Raw genomic sequence first — 25,913 nt, 5'->3', positions numbered from 1 at the left:
GACTTTACATGAACACAGCAAAGTTGTTTTCTTATGGCTAAACATATCAATTAAAAAAAAAACATGTAGTCCACACACACAGCATGTCTGCATATCAAATTTGGCCCATTGGCTATTACGTATGTTGTGACCTTATACCTTTTACTTAGAGAAATGGATCAGTAAAATAGTCTCTAAATGAAGACTTCTAAAAACCAATAGATTTCATTGTGATGTTGGTTGAAACCATATGATACTAATTAAAAAACACCTTCTATTGAGTTTCTCCTTTGTGTCTATTCTGGGTTTTGTGTTGGCATAAGTGCCAAAGAGTAAATATCCCGGTATAAGCTGTGTCTTCGTGTATTAATTACTGTGTGGCAATATCGACACAAATTTAATGGCTTAAAACAACATGAGGTGTTCATTATCTTACAGTTTCTATGAGTCAGGTGTCCTGGCACAGCTTAGCTGTGCCCTCTACAATGCTATAGCAATACATTGGCCAGGAATATGGTCTCTTCTGAGGCTTAACTAGGGAAAGGATCCACTTTCAAGTTTACTCAAATTGTTATAAGAATTCCATTTCTTGCATGTGTAAGACAGAGGGCTCCAGGTTCTTCGGGGCTATCGGTCAAATACTGCTCTAATTTTTAGAGGTGCTCACAGCTTCTTGCCACATAAAGTTTCCCAAAACGTCCACTTGCTTCGTCACATTCATCAAAAGAGAGAGACTCCAGGAAGGCAAACACTACAATATTATGTGCATGATTATGTATGCCTAATTACCTACATAAGCTCACCTTTGCCATGTTCTGTAGGTTAGAGACAAGCCATAGGCCATGTCCAGATTTAGGATAAGGAAACTACACAAGCATTTGAACACCAAGAAGTGACGATCATGGGTATTATCCTAGAGCACATCCACCATGCTTTCCCAAATAAGAATAAGATTTACTGAAGCAATAAATTCTTTTTCTAAAGCTGTCAAAGGAAACCTTCATTTATTAGTAGAATCATAGTTCAGAGAAGCGATGGCATAGTGATTTGAGGGCTGCTTCAACATGGCATGGTGATTTGGTAGATACTTCAACATGTGGTCATTCACACAGAATGACCTCCGCTCAGGCAGCACTCCGCTACATATTAACTTGCTCAAGTTTCCTACATGAAGCTCTGAGCAATGTGTGTCAAAGATTCTATACTGTGTGCTGTGACTTACACATATTTTATTGCAAGGAGGTTTTGCCATTTTTAGAATACTTATAAATTTCTTTTTTATATGGACCTTTTAACAATATAATATTTTTAAGTAATTTTATCTGCTTGGGCAACTAAAGACCAAAAAGCCACCTGTTTTCTCCTATCAGGTAGTCCCACACAGCATAGTGAGTGGAAGGGAACAATGAGGGCCCAATTCCTACCTCACTGACCAGCTGCCATGATTTTGAATATTAGATGTAAAATGGGTGAAACATTTAAGTAGCAGTTTACATTTCAGAACATACTGAAATTGTATCCCCTGCTAATTAACCACTGATGGAAGTAATCGCTTGGATCCTATCGAACAAATGTGGCAAGTCCCTGTCTGCTGGAATGCATTACAAATGTGGTCTATTGGTTCCTGAAACTTCCACTGCAAAATTACCCTTCTATTCTATCTTTCAATTATATGCTGAAAACTCATTACTTTAAAAAATTTAATGGAAACATACAAACCTCTTTGGGAATTACCTGACTCTGTTGAAAACTAAACCAAAATGCACAGGTAATAAAAGCAAGCCTTGTTGCTATAGAAAAATTGCTCCAATAGAATTTTGGTGTATTATTGTTTTTCAGTGAACCAGTTACAGAGGCTAAAATTGGAACCTAAGTGAATAGCTATTTCATGTTGCTATAAGTGAACTGCAAGAATTCTACATTTCAAAGTCACTTGACGTAAAACTTACACATTCCAGACTTCTGAAACTTTCCACCTACTTATATCGCTGCCACTTACACATACCGTTAATCCATCAATAACTCTCATGGTTGCAACAGCTGAATGGAAAAATGGCCAAAGTGCCCTCATTTCATAAATCTCAAAGTGCTTGTGATTCTTTAAAATACCACACATATTTTTATTTGCAGTTTCAACATGATTAAAATAATTTAGAAACAGATACTCTTAACTGGTGAGTGATTTAGTCTGGGGTTAGAATATTCCACATTTTCTCATTTTTGGACAGAGAACTATTTACTAAAAGCATTTAAAGAAAGAATTAATACACTTTTTATGTTGACTTTCCACCTTTATATGAAAAAAAGAGCATTTATTGGGGGAAAATATGATTTCACATTTAGTCTAGATAGTTTTGCATATTGAAAGTTTCATGGAGAAGAAAATATTGAAGTTTTAAAGTTATAGAGATTTATTTTACTCTAGTACATACTGAATACTTTATATAACAAAGATTAGGTTATTAATTTATTCAGTAAACCTGCCCAAAAGTGAGGGTCCCAAAAGAGAAATAAAGCAAGTTTCTATAGTCTGACAGTATGAAAATAATAATTTACTTGAAAATCAAAATTAATTTTAAAATATATTCAAAGTTCCTATAGGTGGACTGTATAAAACTATTTGAACAATTAAGAACAAATATTATGTGACTAGAGAAAATTATATAGAAATTAGAAAAAAAAACAACCTTGAAACAAAAATGTTGTTTTTTGTAGATTTTCTACCCAGTTAGAGAAAAGTGTATTTCCGGAGAAGAGACACAGTAAGGGGTCTTGACTCCATTATAAATTTTTGAAAGAATGAGCAAATAAATATAGAATTGGGAGAAAAAGTTATTAGAAAGAAAAGGGAGCAGTGACAAATCACATCAACTTAAAAGATCGCATAAAAATTTGAAGAGGCTATTGAATAAAAGAAAGTATAGAGAAAATAGGATGTCTTGAAAAGTCTCCAATATGGGTTGCTATTAAAACAATAAAATAACTAAAAGAAAATAAATAAATATACTCCAGAGTGTGTGACCTTGCTAATTAAGGCATTTTCCCCAGGGAATTTCCAAAGCCTTTTTGATCTAACTATAACTCTCTTCTAATGAAAAGTTTTTTTCTCCCTCATATAGTTGCCTCTGAGTTCTTTAACCTTTGCTGCAGCACTGGGATAGCTTGTTCAATCTCATTATGTGGAGGCCAAAAGGATATAGGAAACAGTTAGGTTACTACACTTGCATATTTTTAATTCAAACTTCTTTAATGTGAGGGAAACCCTTTATCATTTCACCTGACAAACATAACCTCTTGAAAACTTAACTTCTAAAAATAAGTGAAAATTGTCAAGAACAAATTTACTAGGACTCGCCATATAGTGAGTGAATTAGTCCATTATCACACTGCTATGAAGAGATACCCAAGATTTATAAAGAAAAGGGACTTAATTGACTCACAGTTCTGCATGGCTGGGGAGGCCTCAGGAAACTTACAAACATGGCAGAAGGCACATCTTCACAGAGCAGCAGGAGAAAGAATGAGTGCAAGCAGGGGATGCAAAGCGCTTATAAAACCATCAGATCTTATGAGACAAACTTATTATCACAAAAATAGCATGAGGGAATCCACCCCTATGATTCAGCTACCTCCATCTGATCCCGCCCTTGACACATGAGGATTATGGGGATTACAATTCAAGGTGAGATTTGAGTGGGGACACAGAGCCAAACCATATCAATGAGTTATCCAGCGGCTTTGTTCTTCAAAAGGAAAATAGTATATGCAATAAATAAGGCAATATAATTTTTGTTAATTTTTGGCATTGTCAAATTGATCTGGCAATTTCATGTCCATATTTTTTTTTTTTTTTGAGATGGAGTCTCGCTCTGTCTCCCAGGCTGGAGTGCAATGGTGCAATCTTGGCTTACTGCAAGCTCCGCCTCCCGGGTTCACACCATTCTCCTGCCTCAGCCTCCCGAGTAGCTGGGACTACAGGCACCTGCCACCACGCCTGGCAAATTTTTTGTGTTTTTAGTAGAAACGGAGTTTCACCATGTTAGCCAGGATGGTCTCGATCTCCTGACTTCGTGATCCGCCCACCTCGGCCTCCCAAAGTGCTGGAATTAACAGGCATGAGCTCCTGCCTGGCCCAATGTCCGTAATTTTAAACCATCTACCATCATGACTGAAAATTAGAGTGAGGTTCCACGTAGCACTTCATTCATTTCCAAATGAGCTCCTTTCACATATACATATTTTTAAATTCTAATTTTGATAATAAACAATACACAGGGCACATCTTTCATGTTATCCCTGTAGACAATAAGTAGCCATGTTAATGATTTCACATACTCTCTGATAATTTTGTATTGGAAAGTTTAACACATTTACATTTATCATCATATCAGATCTATTTGGTATTAATTTTGGCTTATTTGTTTATTTCTTATTGGGTTTTATGCTTCCATTATGTCTTACTAAATTTAGCTAATGTTCAATAATCCTGTAAAAATTTAAAACATAGAATTTCCATTTTTATACTAATGCTGTGTTTTAATTTTTTTATTTATGTGTGTACTAAAATATTGCTCTTACTATGTACTAGGAACTAGAATAAAACTCACAGTGCTTTACTCGAGAATAGATCTTCTGTTCTTCACAAAAATCCTACAAAATATGTGCTTCTTACCTACATTACAAATGTGGGATCATTGATGCCAAGTAGTCTACCCAAATTCAGAAAGCTATAAAGAATGGCAGTACAAGTGGAATTCAGGTCTGTTGGACCTGAGAATTTGTGCTTTTAACATTATGATGTAATACAACTCTTTAATTATCAATGTAGAATGAATAGAAGGCTAGCTGAGAGGATTGACAACACACAACTGGGAATGTAGGAGAAAACTAGGCTGGTGCATGAATGTTGTCTTTTTGTTCCTAGTTTGAAATAACATTTTACTATGTTATGTCTTTTACATATATATTTTAAATATTTTCTCTATTTGCCATTTGTTTTACTTTACTTCATGGTGTTCTCTTTCAGTATAATTGTAGTATTCTCAATGACTTCATTTTAAATTTCAACCTTTGGTAATATTACATTATTTCTAAAACAGTCAACTATAATTTATTGTATATTAATAATATTTATTTTTATGTTACAATAAGATATTGAATCTCCTTAATATATATTTTACTCTATGATACAACATTAACTTAAAACATTGCTACATGATTTTTACAAAATAATTTTTCTAAGATGATATGCATATGTTTATATATGTGTGTGTATATATGAATAGATATATATTCCTATACATATAAATACCTTTTGTCTACTTCTTGAGTCTTCAAACAGTTCTGTTGATCTGTCTGTCAATTATCTCGTCTCCTTGCTTACTAATTTTAATAATCTTAATTTTATAATGCCTTTTAATAATGACTGAAAATTGCTTAATTGTACTTTATTTTCAAAATTGTTCTGGATATTCTAGATTATGTACTCTATTAGACATACTTTAGAACATCATTTTGGACAATTATTTCAGGACCATTATTTAAAAATAACATTTTTAGGAAAAAAATTACAGAAATTTCCTTTAAAAACATTTTTAAAACATAGTTGACATGTTAGTAAGAATTGCATTAAACCTAAAAATTAATTTAGAAAGACTACATGAATAGGATTTACTTTTCTTTGATGAGAAATGGTACTGAAGTCATATATGGCTAATTAGATTCAAGGAATATTATCATTTCTTCACACACTATGGATATTATTAACTTCATGATATCGAACCACCTCTTTATTCTTCAATATAAGACTATATAGATGATGTTTATTTCAATATATATTTTGTTTAGCATTATGCCGTCCAATATTTATATCTATATTTATCTGTAATATTTTGTAATTTTTATTTTTCTTCAATTCCAAAAAGTGTTGTTACTGATGTTATCCAGATATTAAAAAATAAATTGTGTCAGGTGCTAATTTAAAAAAGCAGAGGAAACAATGAGGAATTATAGCAGGGCTGAAATAGACTAGGGGGTAAAATAAAAGCTGTTCAGAGGAAATGATATTTAAGATATGCCATGAAGAATGAATAGAATCTATGCAGACAGACAGACTGTGAAAGAAACATTGTGGCAAAATATCAGCATGTGTAGGGAACTTAAGGAAGACAAACCTTATCCAATTTAAGCAAATGACAGTAGACCAGTCCTATTGAAGAGTGGGAGATGAGGCCTCAGGACCACACAAATTTGGGGTCACAAAGAGGAGTGGGATTACACAAAGCAGAATGTGGAGAAGTAGCTAAAGAGATAGGAGAATATCGGGGAACTGTCATAGAGATGTTCTCAAATGCTGCTGAGAAGGAGATTTTGGATGCATTAAGATTGTCATAAACAACAAGAACTTACACTGGATCACACATATATTTCTGCATTCTTATGTTGCTATAAAGAAATACTTGAGACTGGGTAATTTATAAAGAAAAGGGGTTTAATTGGCCTATAGTTCCATTTTACAAGCTCTACAGGAAGCATGATGCTGGCATCTGCTTAGCTTCTGGGGAGGCCTCATGAAACTTACAATCATGGCAGAAGGTGAACAGGAAGGAGGCACATCGCATGGCCAGAGCAGAAGCAAGAGAGCGAGGGAGGAGATGCCTCATACTTTTAAATGACCAGGTCTCACAAGCTCCCTCATTATCACAAGGACAGTACCAAGGGGAATGACGCTAAACCATTCATGATAAACCATCCCCTTGCTCCAGTCACCTTCCAATAAGCCCCACCTCCAACATTGGGGATTACATTTCAATATGATATATGGGTGGGGACACACTTTCAAAGGATATCAACATGCTAGGGTTTATTAATGTAGCATCTCAACAAGGATATAAAGGAGCATAATTATTATGGCTCTTTTCTTTGCCATCCACAGTATAAATTTTCTTAAGTTTGCTGCCCCTCTTGACAGTGGAAAATAGAGTTATATGAGTATGCATCCCTTGAAAAAATATATATCTTTTTAAACCTACTAACATCTCCTTATGTTCTGTTCACTACAATTGGGACACTTGCTCATTTCTGCATGTGCCATAGAAGGGGTATCATGCTAATTGACTAATTCCAATGCTGCTGAGTGTAGGATTGACATCTCCTAAGGCACCTGGCTAGGTGGCGATGGGTTATTTGCCCAGATTAACTAGAATCCTGTTAGGAAGGAAGAAAGTAATAAGAGTACTAAATAGGCAACTGAAATATGCAATACACAATTAATGAAGAATGAGGACTAAAAAGTATGGATTTGATTCAGCAACTAGGTCACTTGTGAACACAGCAAGATTTAGCAGAGAAGGGAACAAGATTAGAATGGGTGAAAGAGATTGGAATGTGAGAAAGTCAAGTCAGAGAATTAACACTTTCAATACACTTTTTTGAAGGATACAAAAGTGAGGTAGAAGTGGAAAAAAGAGGGATGGGAAGGGCAAAAAAGAGGGATGGGAAGGGCTCAGAAGACAGTTGGAGATGGGATCTAGGTTATAAGTGTAAGATGTGGTCATTGGCAGGATGCATTAAGCTTTCCATTACAGTGTAGTGGAGAAAGTAGGAATAGAGAAGAAAGACTATATTTTGAATCTGTGTGGAAATGCAATTGGTCCTATGTGGGGTGAGAATGTAACTCTATGTAGTATAAGTTAGTGTAATCAATAGACAATTGACAAAGGAGGGCAGAGGTTTGAGGCAGGCAGAGAAAAGATCAAATCGTCAATGAGAGAATAGAAAAAAATTCTTGCTGAGGGAAAGCTGATAAGGACTCCAGATGGTACTGAATGAGCAACTGGGATATTATGCTGTAGTTTCCTTTTTATGAGTATTTGATTTTGTTTTCTTTCTTTTTTTCTTTCATTAAGGGTATGTTGTCCAGAAAACATGTTGTGTGTGGGGGTGTGGTATGCTTTTAATAATTGTACATGTGTAGCATTTTGTGCTTTCTTAATCTCAAAGAATATATTTTCCTGTTACTTTCTTAGGTATGAAAGCCAACTAGGCTAGAAATTCATCTTTTTCCCTCAAAAATTTCTTCTTAAAACTTTAGTTTGAAGAGTATACTTTTTATTATATTTTATTTTTACTTTTTGTGATATCAGTCTTATTGAATTGTCATTTACAGGCAATAAAATTCATCAGACATATAATTTGATATAACTTGATAAAAGTATATAGCCTCCATGTAGTTGTGCAGTTTTAAGTGAGTTTCTTAATCCTGAACCTGCTTCTGAATTATTACTCCTGCTCCTGAATGAATAACAAAATTAAGGCAGATATAAATGTTCTTTGAAACCAATAAGAACAAAGACACAACGTACCAGAATCTCTGGGACACAGCTAACACAGTGTTTAGAGGGAAAATTACAGCACTAAATGCCCACAGGAGAAAGCGGGAAAGATCTAAAATTGACACCCTAACATCATAATTAAAAGAAATAGATAAACAGTAGCAAACAAATGCAAAAGCTAGCAGAAGACAAGAAATAACTAAGTTCAGAGCAGAACTGAAGCAGACAGAGACATAAAAAAATCCTTCAAAAAAATCAGTGAATCCGGATACTGCTTTTTTGAAAAGATTAACAAAATAGACTGCTAGCCAGACTAATAAAGAAGAAAAGAGAGAAGAATCAAAAAGACACAATAAAAAAATAATAAAGGGGATATCAACACTGATCCCACAGAAATACAAACTACCATCAGAGAATACTATAAACACCTCTAAGTAAATAAACTAGAAAATCTAGAAGAAATGGATAAATTCCTGGACACATACACCCTCCCAAACTAAATCAAGAAGAAGTCAAATCCCTGAATAGACCAATAACAAGTTTTGGAAATGAGGCAGCAATCAATAGCCTACCAAACAAACAAACAAACAAACAAAAAACCCAGGACCATACAGATTCACTGCCAAATTCTACCAGAGGTACAAAGAGGAGCTGGTACCATTCTTTCTGAAACTATTCCAAAAAATAAAAAAGGGGGACTCCTCCATAACTCATTTTATGAGGCCAGCATCATCCTGGTACCAAAACTTGGCAGAGACACAACAAAAAAAGAAAATTTCAGGCCAATATCCCTGATGAATATTGATGCGAAAATCCTCAAGAAAATCTTGGCAAACCATATCCAGCAGCACATCAAAAAGCTTATCCACCATGATCAAGTCAGCTTCATCCCTGGGATGCAAGGCTGGTTCAACATATGCAAATCAGTAAAGGAAATCCATCACATAAACAGAACTAATGGCAAAAACACATGATTATCTCAATAGATGCAGAAAAGGTCTTTGATAAAATTCAACACCCCTTCATGCTAAAAATTCTCAACAGACTAGCTATTGATGGACATATCTCAAAATAATAAAAGCTATTTATGACAAACCCACAGCCAATATCATACTGAATGGGCAAAAGATGGAAGCATTCCTTTTGAAAACTAGCACAAGATAAGGATGCCTTCTCACACCACTCCTATTCAACATAGTATTGGAAATTCTGGCCAGGGGAATCAGGCAAGAGAAAAATAAAGGGTATTCAACTAGGAAGAGAGGAAGTCAAATTGTCTCTGCAGATGAAAGGATTGTATTTTTAGAAAACCCCATCATCTCAGCCTCAAATCTCCTTAAGCTGATAAGCAACTTCAGCAAAGTCTCAGGATACAAAATCAATGTGCAAAAATCACAAGCATTCCTATACACCAGTAATAGACAAACGGGGAGCCAAATCATGAGTGAACTCCCATTCCCAATTGCTACAAAGAGAATACAATACCTAGGAATACAACTTACAAGGGATGTGAAGGACCTCTTCAAGAAGAACTACAAACCACTGCACAAGGAAATAAGAGAGAACACAAACAAATGGCAAAACATTCCATGCTCATGGATAGGAAGAGTCAATATCATAAAAATGGCCATACTGCCCAAAGTAATTTACAGATTTAATGGTATCCCCAACAAGCTACCATTGACTTTCTTCACAGAATTAGAAAAAACTACTTTAAATTTCATATGCAACCAAAAAAGAGCCCTTATAGCTAAGACAATCCTAAGCAAAATGAACAAAGCTGGAGGCATCACGCTACCTGCCTTTAAACTATATTACAAGGCTACAGCAACCAAAACAGCACGATACTGGTACCAAAACAGACATATAGACTATTAGAACAAAACAAAGGCCTCAGATGCTATTGTTTTTCATAATAATAATATGATTTTTAATTTTCCTAGGTACAGTCTGTTTATTTTTACCTGGCACATGATATGTCTTTTCACTCTGTTTATATTGTTTTTTTCTTTAGTTTAAGAAAGCTTTAATTTCCTATTCCTACACAATTTCTTCTACTCTATTAATCATTAATATGATAGTCTGATATAAATATTATAGTCTGATATATCTTATTATGGAAGAAACTACCATAGAATGGGAACAAACACAATCAGAAGACTGTAGTTAAGCATCAGCCTTCTTCTTCATACAGGACTGAATCTGTCCTCTGCCGTTGGTTCTCTAAGTTTGGTGTGAATCACATCACTTGGAGGACTTGTTAAAATGCAATTGCTGGTTCATCCACACTTTTGATTCAGCAGTCCTCAGGTTGGGCGATAATTTGCATTTCTGACAATTTCTTCGAGGGAGAGGGGCACGGATATTTCAGGTTTTGGGACCACACTTTGAGAACAAGTGCTCAAAGTCACTAAATTGTCTTGCTTTATTAAATCAGAGTAAAGCAGAAAGAGAAGGAACTATATAGGCTGCACTGAGTAAATTCTAAATGATTTCTTAGTTCTTCTGAATTTGAGATGTGGTTATTTGAGGAAAAGTTTGCAGAGGTTAAGATTGAACTAAGCTTTGAGTGAAATTCTTGGCTTTCTAACTTTGCTGATTATTCAAAACTGAAATGATCTGTCTTGGAAGGCAAGGAGATATCTGTACAATAATGTTGAAGGAGAGGTGGGATGAACCACTGGCATGGATATGATTTGTAAAGCAAAATCAGGTATCAAGTGTGTAGTACCAAACATTATTTCAGACCCCTTTCCCTGTTGCCGTGCACTGGTTTGAAGAAACAGGGGAACTTAAGTGGATACATAAATGGATTGGAGTGAGAGGTCATTGTTCAAATCGCAATTCCACAAGTGACTGGCTCTGTAAGGTTTGAAAAACTGATTAACATCTCTCAAACTGCTTGTATTAGTCTCCTAGGGCTGACATCGCAAGGACCACAAGACCGCTAGCAAGACTAATAAAGAAAAAAAGAGAGAAGAATCAAATAGACACAATAAAAAATGATAAAGGGGATATCACCACCGATCCCACAGAAATACAAACTACCATCAGAGAATACTACAAACACCTCTACACAAATAAACTAGAAAATTTGGAAGAAATGGATACATTCCTCGACACATACACTCTCCCAAGACTAAACCAGGAAGAAGTTGAATCTCTGAATAGACCAATAACAGGAGCTGAAATTGTGGCAATAATCAATAGTTTACCAACCAAAAAGAGTCCAGGACCAGATGGATTCACAGCCGAATTCTACCAGAGGTACAAGGAGGAACTGGTACCATTCCTTCTGAAACTATTCCAATCAATAGAAAAAGAGGGAATCCTCCCTAACTCATTTTATGAGGCCAACATCATTCTGATACCAAAGCCAGGCAGAGACACAACCAAAAAAGAGAATTTTAGACCAATATCCTTGATGAACATTGATGCAAAAATCCTCAATAAAATACTGGCAAACCGAATCCAGCAGCACATCAAAAAGCTTATCCACCATGATCAAGTGGGCTTCATCCCTGGGATGCAAGGCTGGTTCAATATACGCAAATCAATAAATGTAATCCAGCATATAAACAGAGCCAAAGACAAAAACCACATGATTATCTCAATAGATGCAGAAAAAGCCTTTGACAAAATTCAACAACCTTCATGCTAAAAACTCTCAATAAATTAGGTATTGATGGGACGTATTTCAAAATAATAAGAGCTATCTATGACAAACCCACAGCCAATATCATACTGAATGGGCAAAAACTGGAAGCATTCCCTTTGAAAACTGGCACAAGACAGGGATGCCCTCTCTCACCGCTCCTATTCAACATAGTGGTGGAAGTTCTGGCCAGGGCAATCAGGCAGGAGAAGGAAATAAAAGGTATTCAATTAGGAAAAGAGGAAGTCAAATTGTCCCTGTTTGCAGACGACATGATTGTTTATCTAGAAAACCCCATCGTCTCAGCCCAAAATCTCCTTAAGCTGATAAGCAACTTCAGCAAAGTCTCAGGATACAAAATCAATGTACAAAAATCACAAGCATTCTTATACACCAACAACAGACAAACAGAGAGCCAAATCATGAGTGAACTCCCATTCACAATTGCTTCAAAGAGAATAAAATACCTAGGAATCCAACTTACAAGGGATGTGAAGGACCTCTTCAAGGAGAACTACAAACCACTGCTCAAGGAAATAAAAGAGGATACAAACAAATGGAAGAACATTCCATGCTCATGGGTAGGAAGAATCAATATTGTGAAAATGGCCATACTACCCAAGGTAATTTACAGATTCAATGCCATCCCCATCAAGCTACCAATGACTTTCTTCACAGAATTGGAAAAAACTACTTTAAAGTTCATATGGAACCAAAAAAGAGCCCGCATCGCCAAGTCAATCCTAAGCCAAAAGAACAAAGCTGGAGGCATCACACTACCTGACTTCAAACTATACTACAAGGCTACAGTAACCAAAACGGCATGATACTGGTACCAAAACAGAGATATAGATCAATGGAACAGAACAGAGCCCTCAGAAATAATGCCGCATACCTACAACTATCTGATCTTTGACAAACCAGAGAAAAACAAGCAATGGGGAAAGGATTCCCTATTTAATAAATGGTGCTGGGAAAACTGGTTAGCCATATGTAGAAAGCTGAAACTGGATCCCTTCCTTACACCTTATACAAAAATCAATTCAAGATGGATTGAAGATTTAAACGTTAGACCTAAAACCATAAAAACCCTAGAAGAAAACCTAGGCATTACCATTCAGGACATAGGCGTGGGCAAGGACTTCATGTCCAAAACACCAAAAGCAATGGCAACAAAAGCCAAAATTGACAAATGGGATCTAATTAAACTAAAGAGCTTCTGCACAGCAAAAGAAACTACCATCAGATTGAACAGGCAACCTACACAATGGGAGAAAATTTTCACAACCTACTCATCTGACAAAGGGCTAATATCCAGAATCTACAATGAACTCAAACAAATTTACAAGAAAAAAACAAACAACCCCATCAAAAAGTGGGCGAAGGACATGAACAGACACTTCTCAAAAGAAGACATTTATGCAGCCAAAAAACACATGAAAAAATGCTCATCATCACTGGCCATCAGAGAAATGCAAATCAAAACCACAATGAGATATCATCTCACACCAGTTAGAATGGCAATCATTAAAAAGTCAGGAAACAACAGGTGCTGGAGAGGATGTGGAGAAATAGGAACACTTTTACACTGTTGGTGGGACTGTAAACCAGTTCAACCATTGTGGAAATCAGTGTGGCGATTCCTCAGGGATCTAGAACTAGAAATACCATTTGACCCAGCCATCCCATTACTGGGTATATACCCAAATGACTATAAATCATGCTGCTATAAAGACACATGCACACGTATGTTTATTGTGGCATTATTCACAATAGCAAAGACTTGGAACCAACCCAAATGTCCAACAATGATAGACTGGAATAAGAAAATGTGGCACATATACACCATGGAATACTATGCAGCCATAAAAAATGATGAGTTCATGTCCTTTGTAGGGACATGGATGAAACTGGAAACCATCATTCTCAGTAAACTATCGCAAGAACAAAAAACCAAACACCGCATATTCTCACTCATAGGTGGGAATTGAACAATGAGATCACATGGACACAGGAAGGGGAATATCACACTCTGGGGACTGTGGTGGGGTCGGGGGAGGGGGGAGGGATAGCATTGGGAGATATACCTAATGCTAGATGACGAGTTAGTGGGTGCAGCGCACCAGCATGGCACATGTATACATATGTAACTAACCTGCACAATGTGCACATGTACCCTAAAACTTAAAGTATAATTAAAAAAAAAAAAAAACAGCAGATATTTATTGTCCCACTGTTCTAGAAGCTAGAATTCTGAGATCAGGGTGTTGGTAGGACTATGTTCCCTTTGAAGACATCTATTCCAGGATCCTTCCCTAGCTTCTGGTATTGTGTTGACTTGTGGCAGCACAATTCCAAGCTTCAATGGCATTCTTCCTGTGTGTGTGTGTGTGTGTGTGTGTGTGTGTGTCCAAATTTTCTTTTTGTACAAGGACACTAATAACATTGGATTAGGGGCCCATCCTACTCTACTATGACTTTATCTTAGTGACATCTGCAATAACTTTATTTTTAAATCTGCTCACATTCTGAGATACTAGCGGTTAGGTCTTTAATATGTGAATTTTGGTTGAGGGACACAATTCAACCTAAAGCATTCATTCCCCTTCTTCTCCTTTGAACTAGTAAGATTCTTGTGGAAACTAAATGGGAAATTCATGTAAAGTTTTTCTCTCACAATAGCTGTTCAATCTATTGCAATGTTCTTGCTATTATTACTACTATTATTATGAAAATGTATCCAGTCTCCTCTAATATCCTCTAAATAGTCATTTTTTCCTGTTGCCAACTGCACTTAAGTTCTATGGTCATTTGTAATCCCTCCTAATATGTTGAAGATGTAGAAGTTTCCAAAATAGATACTTAAAAATTGTTTACCTTTTGCTTATTTGTTATTTATTCGCTGCTGCTTGTGAATGGGATTGAATATGTGGGGGCCATTTCTTTTCAAGCAGAACACTCTTGCCTTATGGGTGTCCCTATTTAGAGAACATATCCAGGGCAAAGGGCTACACTCTCTTTATACTAATCCAGCACGTGCTCCTCTTTCCTCCTCTCTTTTATTTACTTCTTTAATCTTTGCCCGGTTTTGTGCCACAGGTGTCCTAGAAGAAGAGACCCTACACTGGGCTTGTGACCAGCGGAAACTGAATCAATGCTGGAGACACATTCTAACAGTCGAATGGGCAGCTCACAGGAGGTAATGACTTTCAGTTACAATTTGTATGAGGCTCAATGCCATGCTTCAGGTTGCCAGTTCATTACCAGTTTTCCTTGCTTTTTCAGTCTATTACCAATTTAACTTCCCGAAGTTCCCTTTTACACTTCCTTTTGCTTGGGCTCTCTTTCTTATTCAATTACAGTGACTCAGTGACTTTGGTTAGGGCCTAAATGAAAGTCCTGTGTAGCACAAGGAAAAATTAAGTTGCTGTTCCAGTTCCACCTACATCTGCAGGCATTTGGATTGAAAAATATTTTGACCATTCCATGGGCATGGTATTTATCATAAAATGCAATTTTTGGTCAACTTTTTAAGGCACCTTGTCATATATATATATATATATATATATATATATATATATATATATATATATTTTTTTTTTTTTTTTTTGAGATGAAGTCTAGCTCTGTCACCAGGCTGGAGTGCAGTGGCGCAATCTCGGCTCACTGCAACCTCCGCCTCCCCGGTTCAAGTGATTCTCCTGCCTCAGCCTCCCAAGCAGCTGGGACTACAAGCACCCGCCACCATGCCAGGCTAATTTTTGTATTTTTAGTAGAGACAGGGTTTCACCATGTTGGCCAGGATGGTCTCAATCTCTTGACCTCGTGATCCTCCCACCTCGGCCCCACAAAGTGCTGGGATTACAGGTGTGAGCCACCATGCCCAGCCTATTCTTCCTACTCAATGAAAGAACAGGCAGAAGGATGATGTAGGAAGCAATGTTTATTTCCAAGTGTTGTACCAAGTATCCCCTCCTTAACAACACCATATATAATGACAGTAAAGAAGAAAGATTACCCAAATCAGGGATAATCAGACAGTCAGGGGTAAACAGACAATCCCCCAAATTAGGATGGATGCAGGATTTTATATATTTTTATTACAGTTAGGGGGAGAAATGACTTCAAGTATTTATCCAAAAAATAACTATCATGTATTGGGCATGTGTAGTGTATGTATGTAAATGCTAATGTTTTCCCAAAACCCTGCAAATTTATGTATTATTCACACTTCTGAGGTAAGAACACAGAGATTTGATGATTGACAAACCCACAGTTAAATCACTGTTAGAAGAGCTGGAATTTTATCTTGAACTCTTGGGTGGATTCCCTAAAGCCTCTGCTCTATGTAGAGTACTGATATTACCTAACCTCCATATTTCTGGCCACATTGTAGACACACAGAACATAAGGTATATTTAGTTCTACCTAATTACAGTACTTCTCAGGCCGGGTAAAGATGTCAACCATAAGATTTTATAGTGATTTTCTTGATATCCACACCCCTAACTCACCCTCCTGTCTGGACAGACTGGAAAAAGACATGTCCGGATGACAACAGTGGATTTTCTATCACCGTACAACCAAACTAGGGAGGCAAGCTTTCATTATAGCTTCCTTTTGTGCACTTTCAACAGAGCCCAGAATAACCAAGTCAATTCTAACCTATTTCTGACTGAGCTACTGTGCCTCCCACAGTTGACTGTGGGATACATACACTTTTGTTAATTTAATTATATATGTATATATGTGTATGTGTATACATATATATTCCATATATATTGTATTACTGTATATATACCTATTTATATTCTTAGTTATATTGTCTCTGTAATATATTGCCCTCCTTGTGAACCAGAATTTTAGCAATATACAATGTATATTCTATCCAAAATCTGGGCTTTTTGGGAGATCCAATATATGAATACCTACATATTGAATTTTATCTTGTAAATTGATATTTATTTATTTTTATCATGATGGCATTTAGTTGTATTCTATCCTCCTCTTTTGTTTCTAAATATATTATGAATAAAATCTTTACATCTTAGCTGAATAATAATGTGGGTGGTGGGCAGGAACTGGCTTATCGCAATACTCTTTTTCCTTATGAAATTAGCACAGTTATATGCACATAAAATGTATTTAGTATTAATTAAATTTACATAAACATTTTTATTCTCAGGACTCAGGGCTTTTTAATGCTCATTTTTTTACTGGACATTACTATTAATAGTTCATTGTGAAACAAAGCCAAAGCAGGCTATACATTGTATCAAGGCCTGTGGATGATGAGGGACTTTTGGCATGGTTTGTATTTTGCCCATGGTTATTGAAACTGGAGGATCCTAGGAAGATGGAAACGTTTAGGGAGCCCATTGAGTAAGGAAAAGCTAAGTGCCCAGTTTCTCTTAACAGCCTTTCTAAACAGGGACTACACAAGACCATAAATTGCTACTGTTCTAAGAGACAACCATTCGATCCAATGAGAGACCTTCTTTCCTATACATCTACAACGGCATTACATATGTACCATCTTGGGTGGATTGAAATAGTAGGCACTGGAATTATTCTCTGGATTGTGCAATTGAGATGAGGAACCCTAACTGAGGAAAGCTATCACACATTTTCTATCACTCTTTGAGTCTCAAAAACAATGTGGGAAAGATCACTTGAACAGCAAACACTGACCACCAATTTAGGGGCAGGTGAACCGTGGCATACATGATAATTAATTTCTTCCAATGTAATCCACATTGTTGAGAATTTTACTCCTAGGGAAGCTACTCCAGTATGCCTTCTCACTCCTGAAAGTAGCTTTTCTCTCTTCAAATAAAGATATGCCGATATAGAAATCTGGTTATAAAAATAACGGCCAATAAAGATATTGCCCTAGGCCCAGTTGGTCAATGTCAGTGATGCTGAGGTTATTATAAAATACTTTTAGTATATTCAAGGAGAAAAGGGAACTTTCTAAGTAAAGACTTTGCAGCTGAAAAATTGTCATAAAACAAATGTCAGACCTTTTGTTTTTCAAGTACAAATTAAGATATCCCTAGAACAATCTGGTTTAAGTGGTTTTATTTTTGGCATTCTGAAAAAAAAGGTCACAGTTATGTTAGTTATGATCATTCTCTTCTTTTGTCACAGTAAATTTACAGGTTTTAGAAGATGGAGTGTGATAAATAATGAAACAATAGAAATAATTGGTTCTAGATCTGGAGATGAAAGCAGTAGTTTTAATTTGAATTTCTAAATCATCTTCATTAGCTGTGTCACCTTGGACAAGTCCCTCAACTTATTTGAGCCTCAGTTTCTAGAACTACAAAATAGCAAACCTCAATCTCAAAGGTTATGGTGAAAATCAAGAGATGCTATGTAAACAAGTCTAATCTATGTTCTGAAGCAACAATTACAAAGTCTACAAAAATCATTGGTTAAAATGAGAATATTTTCATTCATTTTTATTTTGTGTTTTTTAAATATGTTATCTAATTCTCACACCACCACTGTAAAATAAACCCCGAAACACGAGTAACTTGCCTAAGGCCAGAAAATGAATAAATAGTTAGCTTGGACTCCTCTCTGCCTGATTCTAAAGCCAGTTTTTATAGTTTCTGCATTATATAACTCCTTTAGCTGACTAATTTTGTGATGCCTTCATTGATTTAACTTTTGCAAATGATTAACATCATAAAGTAGACGGTGAGAGCACCAATTGAAATACACATGAGGAATGAAGGCAAAATCTTGGAACCAGCAAGTTCTGTCAAAGTCATCTATGTGAACTCCTTGCCTTATGTAAAGTTTAACAAACTATTCCAGACACATTGTCAGGGAAGGAATTAACTGCTCTGCTAACTCCTCCTCTGCTTAACCATGCTTGCTACCCCAGTGTTTCTCCTTATATCATCTGAATTCCCTCCAGCTGCAATTTATGCCCTCCTTCTCTCATTTTTGCCTCATCAGAGAGGGAGAACAGCTGGTCACCATCCTCCATATAATCACACTTGGTATAATGAAGGTGGTTATTGAGTCACCCTTCAACAATTCCAGTCCAGGTCTTGCTACACAGACCTCTTTACTTGGAAACTGACAAAGATGGCATGTAGAGGAAGATAACTTAAAACATATTCACACCCAGTAAAATGCTGAATAGGAAAACTGTTTTAGGAGCGAGTATTGTATCTTGTTTTACTGCAGCTAATGTTCTGCAATTGCTTCAAATCTGAAGCATGTTCCATACCATAATGGCTAAAGATATGACTTTTTCATACAATTTGGCTTTGGCTTTATCTAAGTTTGAGGTAATTAAGTCAGGAAATCCAAGGTGAAAAAAGAAGGTTTGGACAGGGGCCAGCAGGATATTTGATCCAAGGCACATGTGTCTGAAATTAAATTTGGGAGTTAGGCTGTGCTGTCCTTAAATCTCGATGGCAAATGAAGGCGAACCTTCTGTGTGCTAAGAAAAGGGAATACGTAGGCTGCTGCCTTACGGGAATTACAGAAGACAGGGATAATTCCCAGAAACTACCCAGATTGACTGAAAGGCTGTTTGGCACACCAGTGTGAAGGAACAAGAATGGACAGCTCCCTATAATTACCTAGCCTGAGATCCTGAGAGATTGCCTGTATGCCCAGTGGATTTGGGCAGGTACAGCTGCTGGAGTGTGCAGGAAATAAGGCATTGCCTAAATGGAGTGATTTGATTTTTTAAGGAGAGCAAGCCCCCTTAAATTAGAGAGAAGTTAAATATTTATTGTTGCATACATTGTAGCATTATTTTTGATACTTTTAAATAAGTTTTCTGCACCTAAGCGTCTCTTATTCGAAGAACAATATTCTCCATTAATCAAGTAATCAAATGGCATACTGAAAGCCTCATTCTGCAAAAATGGGAATCACGTCTGAGTTCCGCTTCCAGCACCAGACTAGGTGGGAAAATGGTCAGACCACTCATCCGTTTATTCATTTTTTTGCCCAAACATCCATCAGTACACGGGGATAAAAAACAGTATTCCAGGGATGAGCATAAAATAAGTTAGCACATAGTTCGTAATTGTGATGTTATCTATCATTATCCATTATTATTATAAACAGAAAGATCCACAGGCCTTAAGAAGGGCATCCATAGGCCGGGCGCAGTGCCTCACGCCTATGGAGGCCAAGGCGGGAGGATAACCCGAGGTCAGGAGTTCGAGACCAGCCTGACCAACATGGAGAAACTTTGTCTCTACTAAAAATACAAAATTAGCCGGGTGTGGTGGTGCATGCTTGTAATCCCAGCTACTCGGGAGGCTGAGGCAGGAGAATTGCTTGAACCCAGGAGGCAGAGGTTGCAATGAGCCAAGTTCGTGCCACTGCACTCCAGACTGGGCAAAAAGAGCAAAACTCCATCTCAAAAAAAAAAAAAAAAAAAAAAAGACATCTATAAGCTCACAAAGCAAGTGTTTAATGCAAAAAGGTAATTTAAGACAAAGTCTTAAAGCAGCAGATATCTTAGTTTTTAGTTTATCAGAAGGAATGAAAGGCTTCAAAAAGAAGGTGATAGTATTTATTTGTCTTTGGCTAGGGCATGTCAGAAATATTTTGTTTTTTCTGGACATAACACTTTAAGGAGGCTATTGATCAATCAGATTGTTGGATTGTAACCCTGGTAAGCAACCAATATGAATGGAAAAAATTTGAGCATTGTGTTTGTTCAATTTAGACAGGAGTTAGGACAGGATATGCTAGCCATGTAGTGGTGTTGCATGACTGTATAAGGAATGTAAAAAACTGTCCAGATAACGAAATCAAGACCACATGTGGTGAAAATATCAACACAAAATATATTAATTAAATACATTTTTTTCTAATGCTAGAATATGACCAAAATATGATTGAGACATCTCCAGTGGTATATATATTGAGGATCATATTTAGAGATTGGTGTATAAACCTTGCCAGAGCCTTTATACACTCAAAATTTAGTAATTTGATTAAATGCATTCTTAACTTGGACTTACCAATTAAGAATGCTTCAAAGACCTAATGGGAACACTCATCAAAACAGTTTCTATGGAAGTCTATCTATCTGAAAGGAAATAAAATGTTTTAACCAGACCAAATATAACTAATACAAAATTAAATTTGTCTTCTTGTCATAGTCTGTTGTGTTTGGAAAAGAATAGTTCTTTCATTCATCCAGGGAGTTTTCAGACATTTCATTTAGCAAAGTCCCAATAGGATTGTAACTGGACAGTGAAAGTCAACTCTGATCAGGGAGGATCTATTTCCTGTAAAGTTATGTTGTTAACTGTGATGGATGACACAATCAAGGAATGCAACCAGGGTTTCTGACTCAAGGCAACATTAACAAGGATAACTCTTTGCAAAACAACTGCTTGCAAATGCATTGGACGCATTGACCAGGGCTAGGCTTCTGTACTCAACATTCCTATGAAAAATTAATTTCATGAATGCCCAATGAATAATGAATATCCATGGATTAGATAAAATCCAACTTTCCACCATTATCTAAAAGATATTGGGCTCTCCTACCTATACAATCTCATCTCCTACTACTTCCCTTTTTTTCATTATTTTCCAAGCATACTGACTTTTTCCATTGGGCAAGCCAAGCTCATAGCTTGGTGCATTTGCACTGTTTCCTATGCCTCTGCTTCCCCCATATCTTTGCATAGTTATCACCTCATGATCATTCAAATCTCAACTTGATGTTGATCTCTAACCACAGTATGTTTTAGTTGACCCTCTTGGTTTTCATCATCACTCTGTATCCTATTACTTAACTTTATTTTTTCATAGAATTTGATATCTTTTTTAAAAAAAAATGCTGCAGTGTATTAGCTAGAACAGTTTATGGCTCATATATGCACTCGATACATTTCAGATATATATTTTTATGTTTGTTGCCCCCCCACACACATAACACACAAGCATATCTGCTTCATGAGGGCGAAAACTCCAGTTTTTCGTATACACTGCAGATTTCCCAATGTGAGAACAGTGCTTGGAAGAAAGTGACACTTCTATAATTATTTTTTGAAGGAATGAATCTTATTTGTTGTGAGCATTTACAAGTAGGGGACTTAAAATGCATTTTAAGAGAGTAGATGGTGTGACTGTGATACTGCTTTTGTATGAACCCCTTTCATTATTACACATCTATGATGATAAGTCCTGAGCTTACAGAGATGGAATCAGATTCATTATTCTGTGCTCATGAGGATGGGAAACCAGCCATGAAAGTCACCCCTCACTATTCTAGCCCATGTAGCTGTCATTCTTCTTGGAACTATCCCCCGTTGTACTATTCTAAACAAGACTGACTTGATCCTCTGATGAAGTCTTTATCCTCTGATGATAAAACTAGAGCCTGTGCTTGAGGTCAGTGCTAGAGGAGCAGTTACAGATATCAAGAAGGTCCTGAAGTGCTGGAGAGAAGTTGTGTAAGGATGCAGGTGAAGAGAGTAATGTTAGAGTTAGACAAACACTATTAGCAATGTTTTGTATGAGATACAATTAAAAAACTGCCAAGACTTGCAGCTACTGAAAGCAAGTGGGACTCAAAGAAGTGAGAGGAGAGACTGAATTGATTCTGTCATATAAGTAATTCTGGAATATAATTTATTTTGAAAATCCAGAAGCTGCTTTACCAGTCCTTCTTTATCTGAAAGGAGCCAGACGTTTCTGACACAGAGTCTATTATCTAATTAGATGTGGACTTTTATTTTATATAAGTCACTTTTCTGAATATAAATTAGGTATAAAATCAGAGTCAAAAACAATTACAGAAAGTGAAAATTATATGTAGTATCTGTACATACAATCCTTCATCATCTTTCATATTGTTATAGTTTATTATTATTTTGAAGGCTATGTTTTCATGCCAGTCTACACCATTAGACTGTGATGATGCTGGGAGATGCTTTATTCATCATTTGTTTTCTGATCAATTATTTAAGATTAATTCAGCAAACAATGAGCATTTTCTATGATAGTCATCATGATAGGTCCTAGGTAAACATGTTCTCTGTCCCCATGGAACTTATGGTCTTGTTAAAAGAGGCAAACTTTAAATATGCAGGATGACATTGGATGGTAAGAAGTGTCTCATAGAAAATAAAATGTCTTAAGTCATATTGACTAGGAATGGGAGGATGGTGCCACTCAAGATAGGACAGAGGGCTGACTACAATAAAATGTGAGACCCGAAGGCTGAAAAAAAAAAAAAAAAAAACAAAGAATATCCCAATTATAGATACAACAAATTCAAAGGCTTCAAGGCACAAATGAGGTTGGCCTGGTCAAGGCACTGCATAGGAAAACAGCATGGCTGCACCCTAGTGAGCAAAGAAGAGAGCAATAGCAGATGTTGGAAAGGTGGGCCAAGGCCAGACCATGCTAAGTTTTATAGGCTATCATTAGGCTGTGTGGACTTCATTCTAAGTATATTGGATGTTTTTGAGCAGGGTAGAAATGTGATCTGATTTACATTTTTCAAAGGGTGTCTCCATTTAAAATAGAATAGATTGTAGAAGGTAATATGAAAAGACCAGTCTGGGGAACTATATTGGAGGTAATCAGGTTAGAGGTAAGAGTGGATCCAGCTAAGAATATACAGTGATGATGGAGACATTACTTGGAGAATATGCTCAGAGTTTAGGTGCAGGGGATAAAGAGAAGGTTAACTGGTTTCAGCTTGAGCATCTGGCTTGATACTAATGGCATTTATTTCTATGAAAACCACTGAGTGAGAAACATGTTAGGATAGTGTGAATAGGCCTTAAGGACATTGTTAATACATTTCAAATGTCACTCTATATAGCAAATCTGTCATATGTATATGAACCTCAAAAGAGAGTTTGGGGCAGAGTTACATAATTGTGAATCATATGCATATAGTTGATATTTAAATCTATGGACTTGTATGTGATCACCTAGGGAGAAGATGTATATAAAGAGAGTGAAAGGTTTGGAAATATCAAATATTTAGAGGTCAGATAAGAATAAGGAATATAAAAAAAAATTGACCAGGAATTACTAGCTAGCATAATAAAAGGAAAGCTATGAAAATGGGCAGTCACAGACTGTGAGATAATATTTCAGATATATGATAGTATTTATTTCTGTTGAGCAAGGCTAAAGTGTATCTAAAAACTGAGAACAGAGATTTATTTATTTTACTTGGCAGGCTGGATGTCAGCTTTGGCCTGACAAATACATTTCAATAGATCAGCAAACACTTAGACATGTGAATAAAAGTTCTGAACATTAAAGACAAATAGACAATCTTAAAAGCATTCAGAAAGAAATAACAGATGCACTTGCCAATAAGGGATGATTAATGATACCCACAGTTAAATTTTGAGAAGCAGCAATAGAAGCCTGAATACAAGGAACAATATCTGCAAAGTCAGCAGAGAATTCCTTTCTACTGAAACTATCACTTAACAATGAATGCTAGCAACCTCACACCCATTAAGATAGCTACTATCAAAAAAAAAAAATTAACAAGTGTTTGTAAAGGGAAATCAAAACACTTAGGTCTGTTGGTGGGAATGTGAGATGGTGCCACTGATAAGGAAAACAGTATGACAATTCAAGAAATAAAACATAATTATTAGGTAATTCAGCAATTTCACTTCTGAGTATATACACAAAAGTATTGAAAGCAGGAACTCAAATAGATATTTGTACACTCATGTTCATAGCAACTTGATATGCAAGAGTGAGGTGGAAGTGGTCCAAGTGTTCATGAAAGAATACATAGATGAATAAAATACAGTAAATACATACAAGGTAATATTATTCAACCTTTAAAAGGAAAGAAATGGGTGAATCTTGAGAATGTTAAGCTGAGTAAAAAAAAGCCAGTCACAAAAGGGAAAATACTGTATGATTCCACTTATATGAGGTACCTATGGTAATCAACTTTATAGAGACAAAGAGGAGAATGGTGGTTTCAAAGGGCTGGGAAAAAGGAGGGATGGAAATTGTTTAATGGATGTAGAGTTCCTATTACGCAAATGAAAAGAATTGAGGAGATTGGTTGTACAACAATATGAATGTAATTAACATGCCCAGACAGTAGACTCAAAAGTGGTAAAGATGGTAAATATGCTTTGTGTATTTTACCATATGTTTTAAAGGTAAAAATAAAAAAAGGTAAAAATAAGTGAAATTAATAGCATATTTTATTTAAGCCAACATATTCAAATATTAGCATTTAAACACACACTTAACATTAAAAATATTTGAGATATTTTACTTTTTTGTATTAAGTCTTCAAAGCCTGATGTGTGTTTTACACTTGTAGCATATCACCTTCTATCTAAGTACTAAATAGCCACATGTGCCCAGCGTCTGTGGTATCAGAAAGCCGTGTTCTAGACCTTCTAGCTGTGAGAGAGCAGGCAGCCTGCTATAGCCACATGACTCAGCCCAGAAGGAAACAGCAGAACAACTGCCCGGCTGATCCCAACTTTACTTGTCATAGAATTCTCAGCTACTAAATGATTGTTGTTTGAAGATATTAAGTATTCGAGTGGTTATGCAACGAATGCCAATTAATTGAATGGAAAGGATGAATTCAGATTCATGTAGGCTTACAGGTTCGTAGGTGGCATGCTAAGAAAGTCTTACACAGTTTGTATTTCTCTATGAAGTATGAGCGACGGATGTCATGTATAAAACATGATGTACGGAAGAAAGAACATGGAGATTTAGCAAAAGAGAAGACAGTGTGAAGTACGTATTGGGATAAGTAGAGATAAAATTAATGGTGAAATGCTGTAAAATTGCTGCCCCGCTGCATTGTTCATCTGAAGTTTGTCCTTTTGTCTAGCACATAGTAGGTGTACAATAAATATTTGTTTAATCAAATCAATTCATTCATTTTGGTAAAGGCAGTTTGGAGAAGGCATTATGTTTGTTTTATA

General features: G+C 36.2%; 1 long non-coding RNA gene across 1 annotated transcript in view; it reads left to right on the top strand.

The window, feature by feature from the left end:
* The window catches only part of LINC02438 (long intergenic non-protein coding RNA 2438), a 238,399-nt gene that overhangs the window by 108,161 nt on the left and 104,325 nt on the right, over nucleotides 1–25,913 (top strand). The window contains exon 2 of the long non-coding RNA XR_001741605.2: nucleotides 15,067–15,166. This is a non-coding gene — a long non-coding RNA (long intergenic non-protein coding RNA 2438). The remainder of the gene's footprint in view (nucleotides 1–15,066; nucleotides 15,167–25,913) is intronic.

The sequence above is a fragment of the Homo sapiens genome, chromosome 4 (assembly GCF_000001405.40).
Source record: "Homo sapiens chromosome 4, GRCh38.p14 Primary Assembly".
NCBI classification, from domain to species: domain Eukaryota; kingdom Metazoa; phylum Chordata; class Mammalia; order Primates; family Hominidae; genus Homo; species Homo sapiens.
The sequence above is the reverse complement of the archived record's forward strand: the minus strand, read 5'-3'. Positions and strand labels throughout refer to the sequence as shown.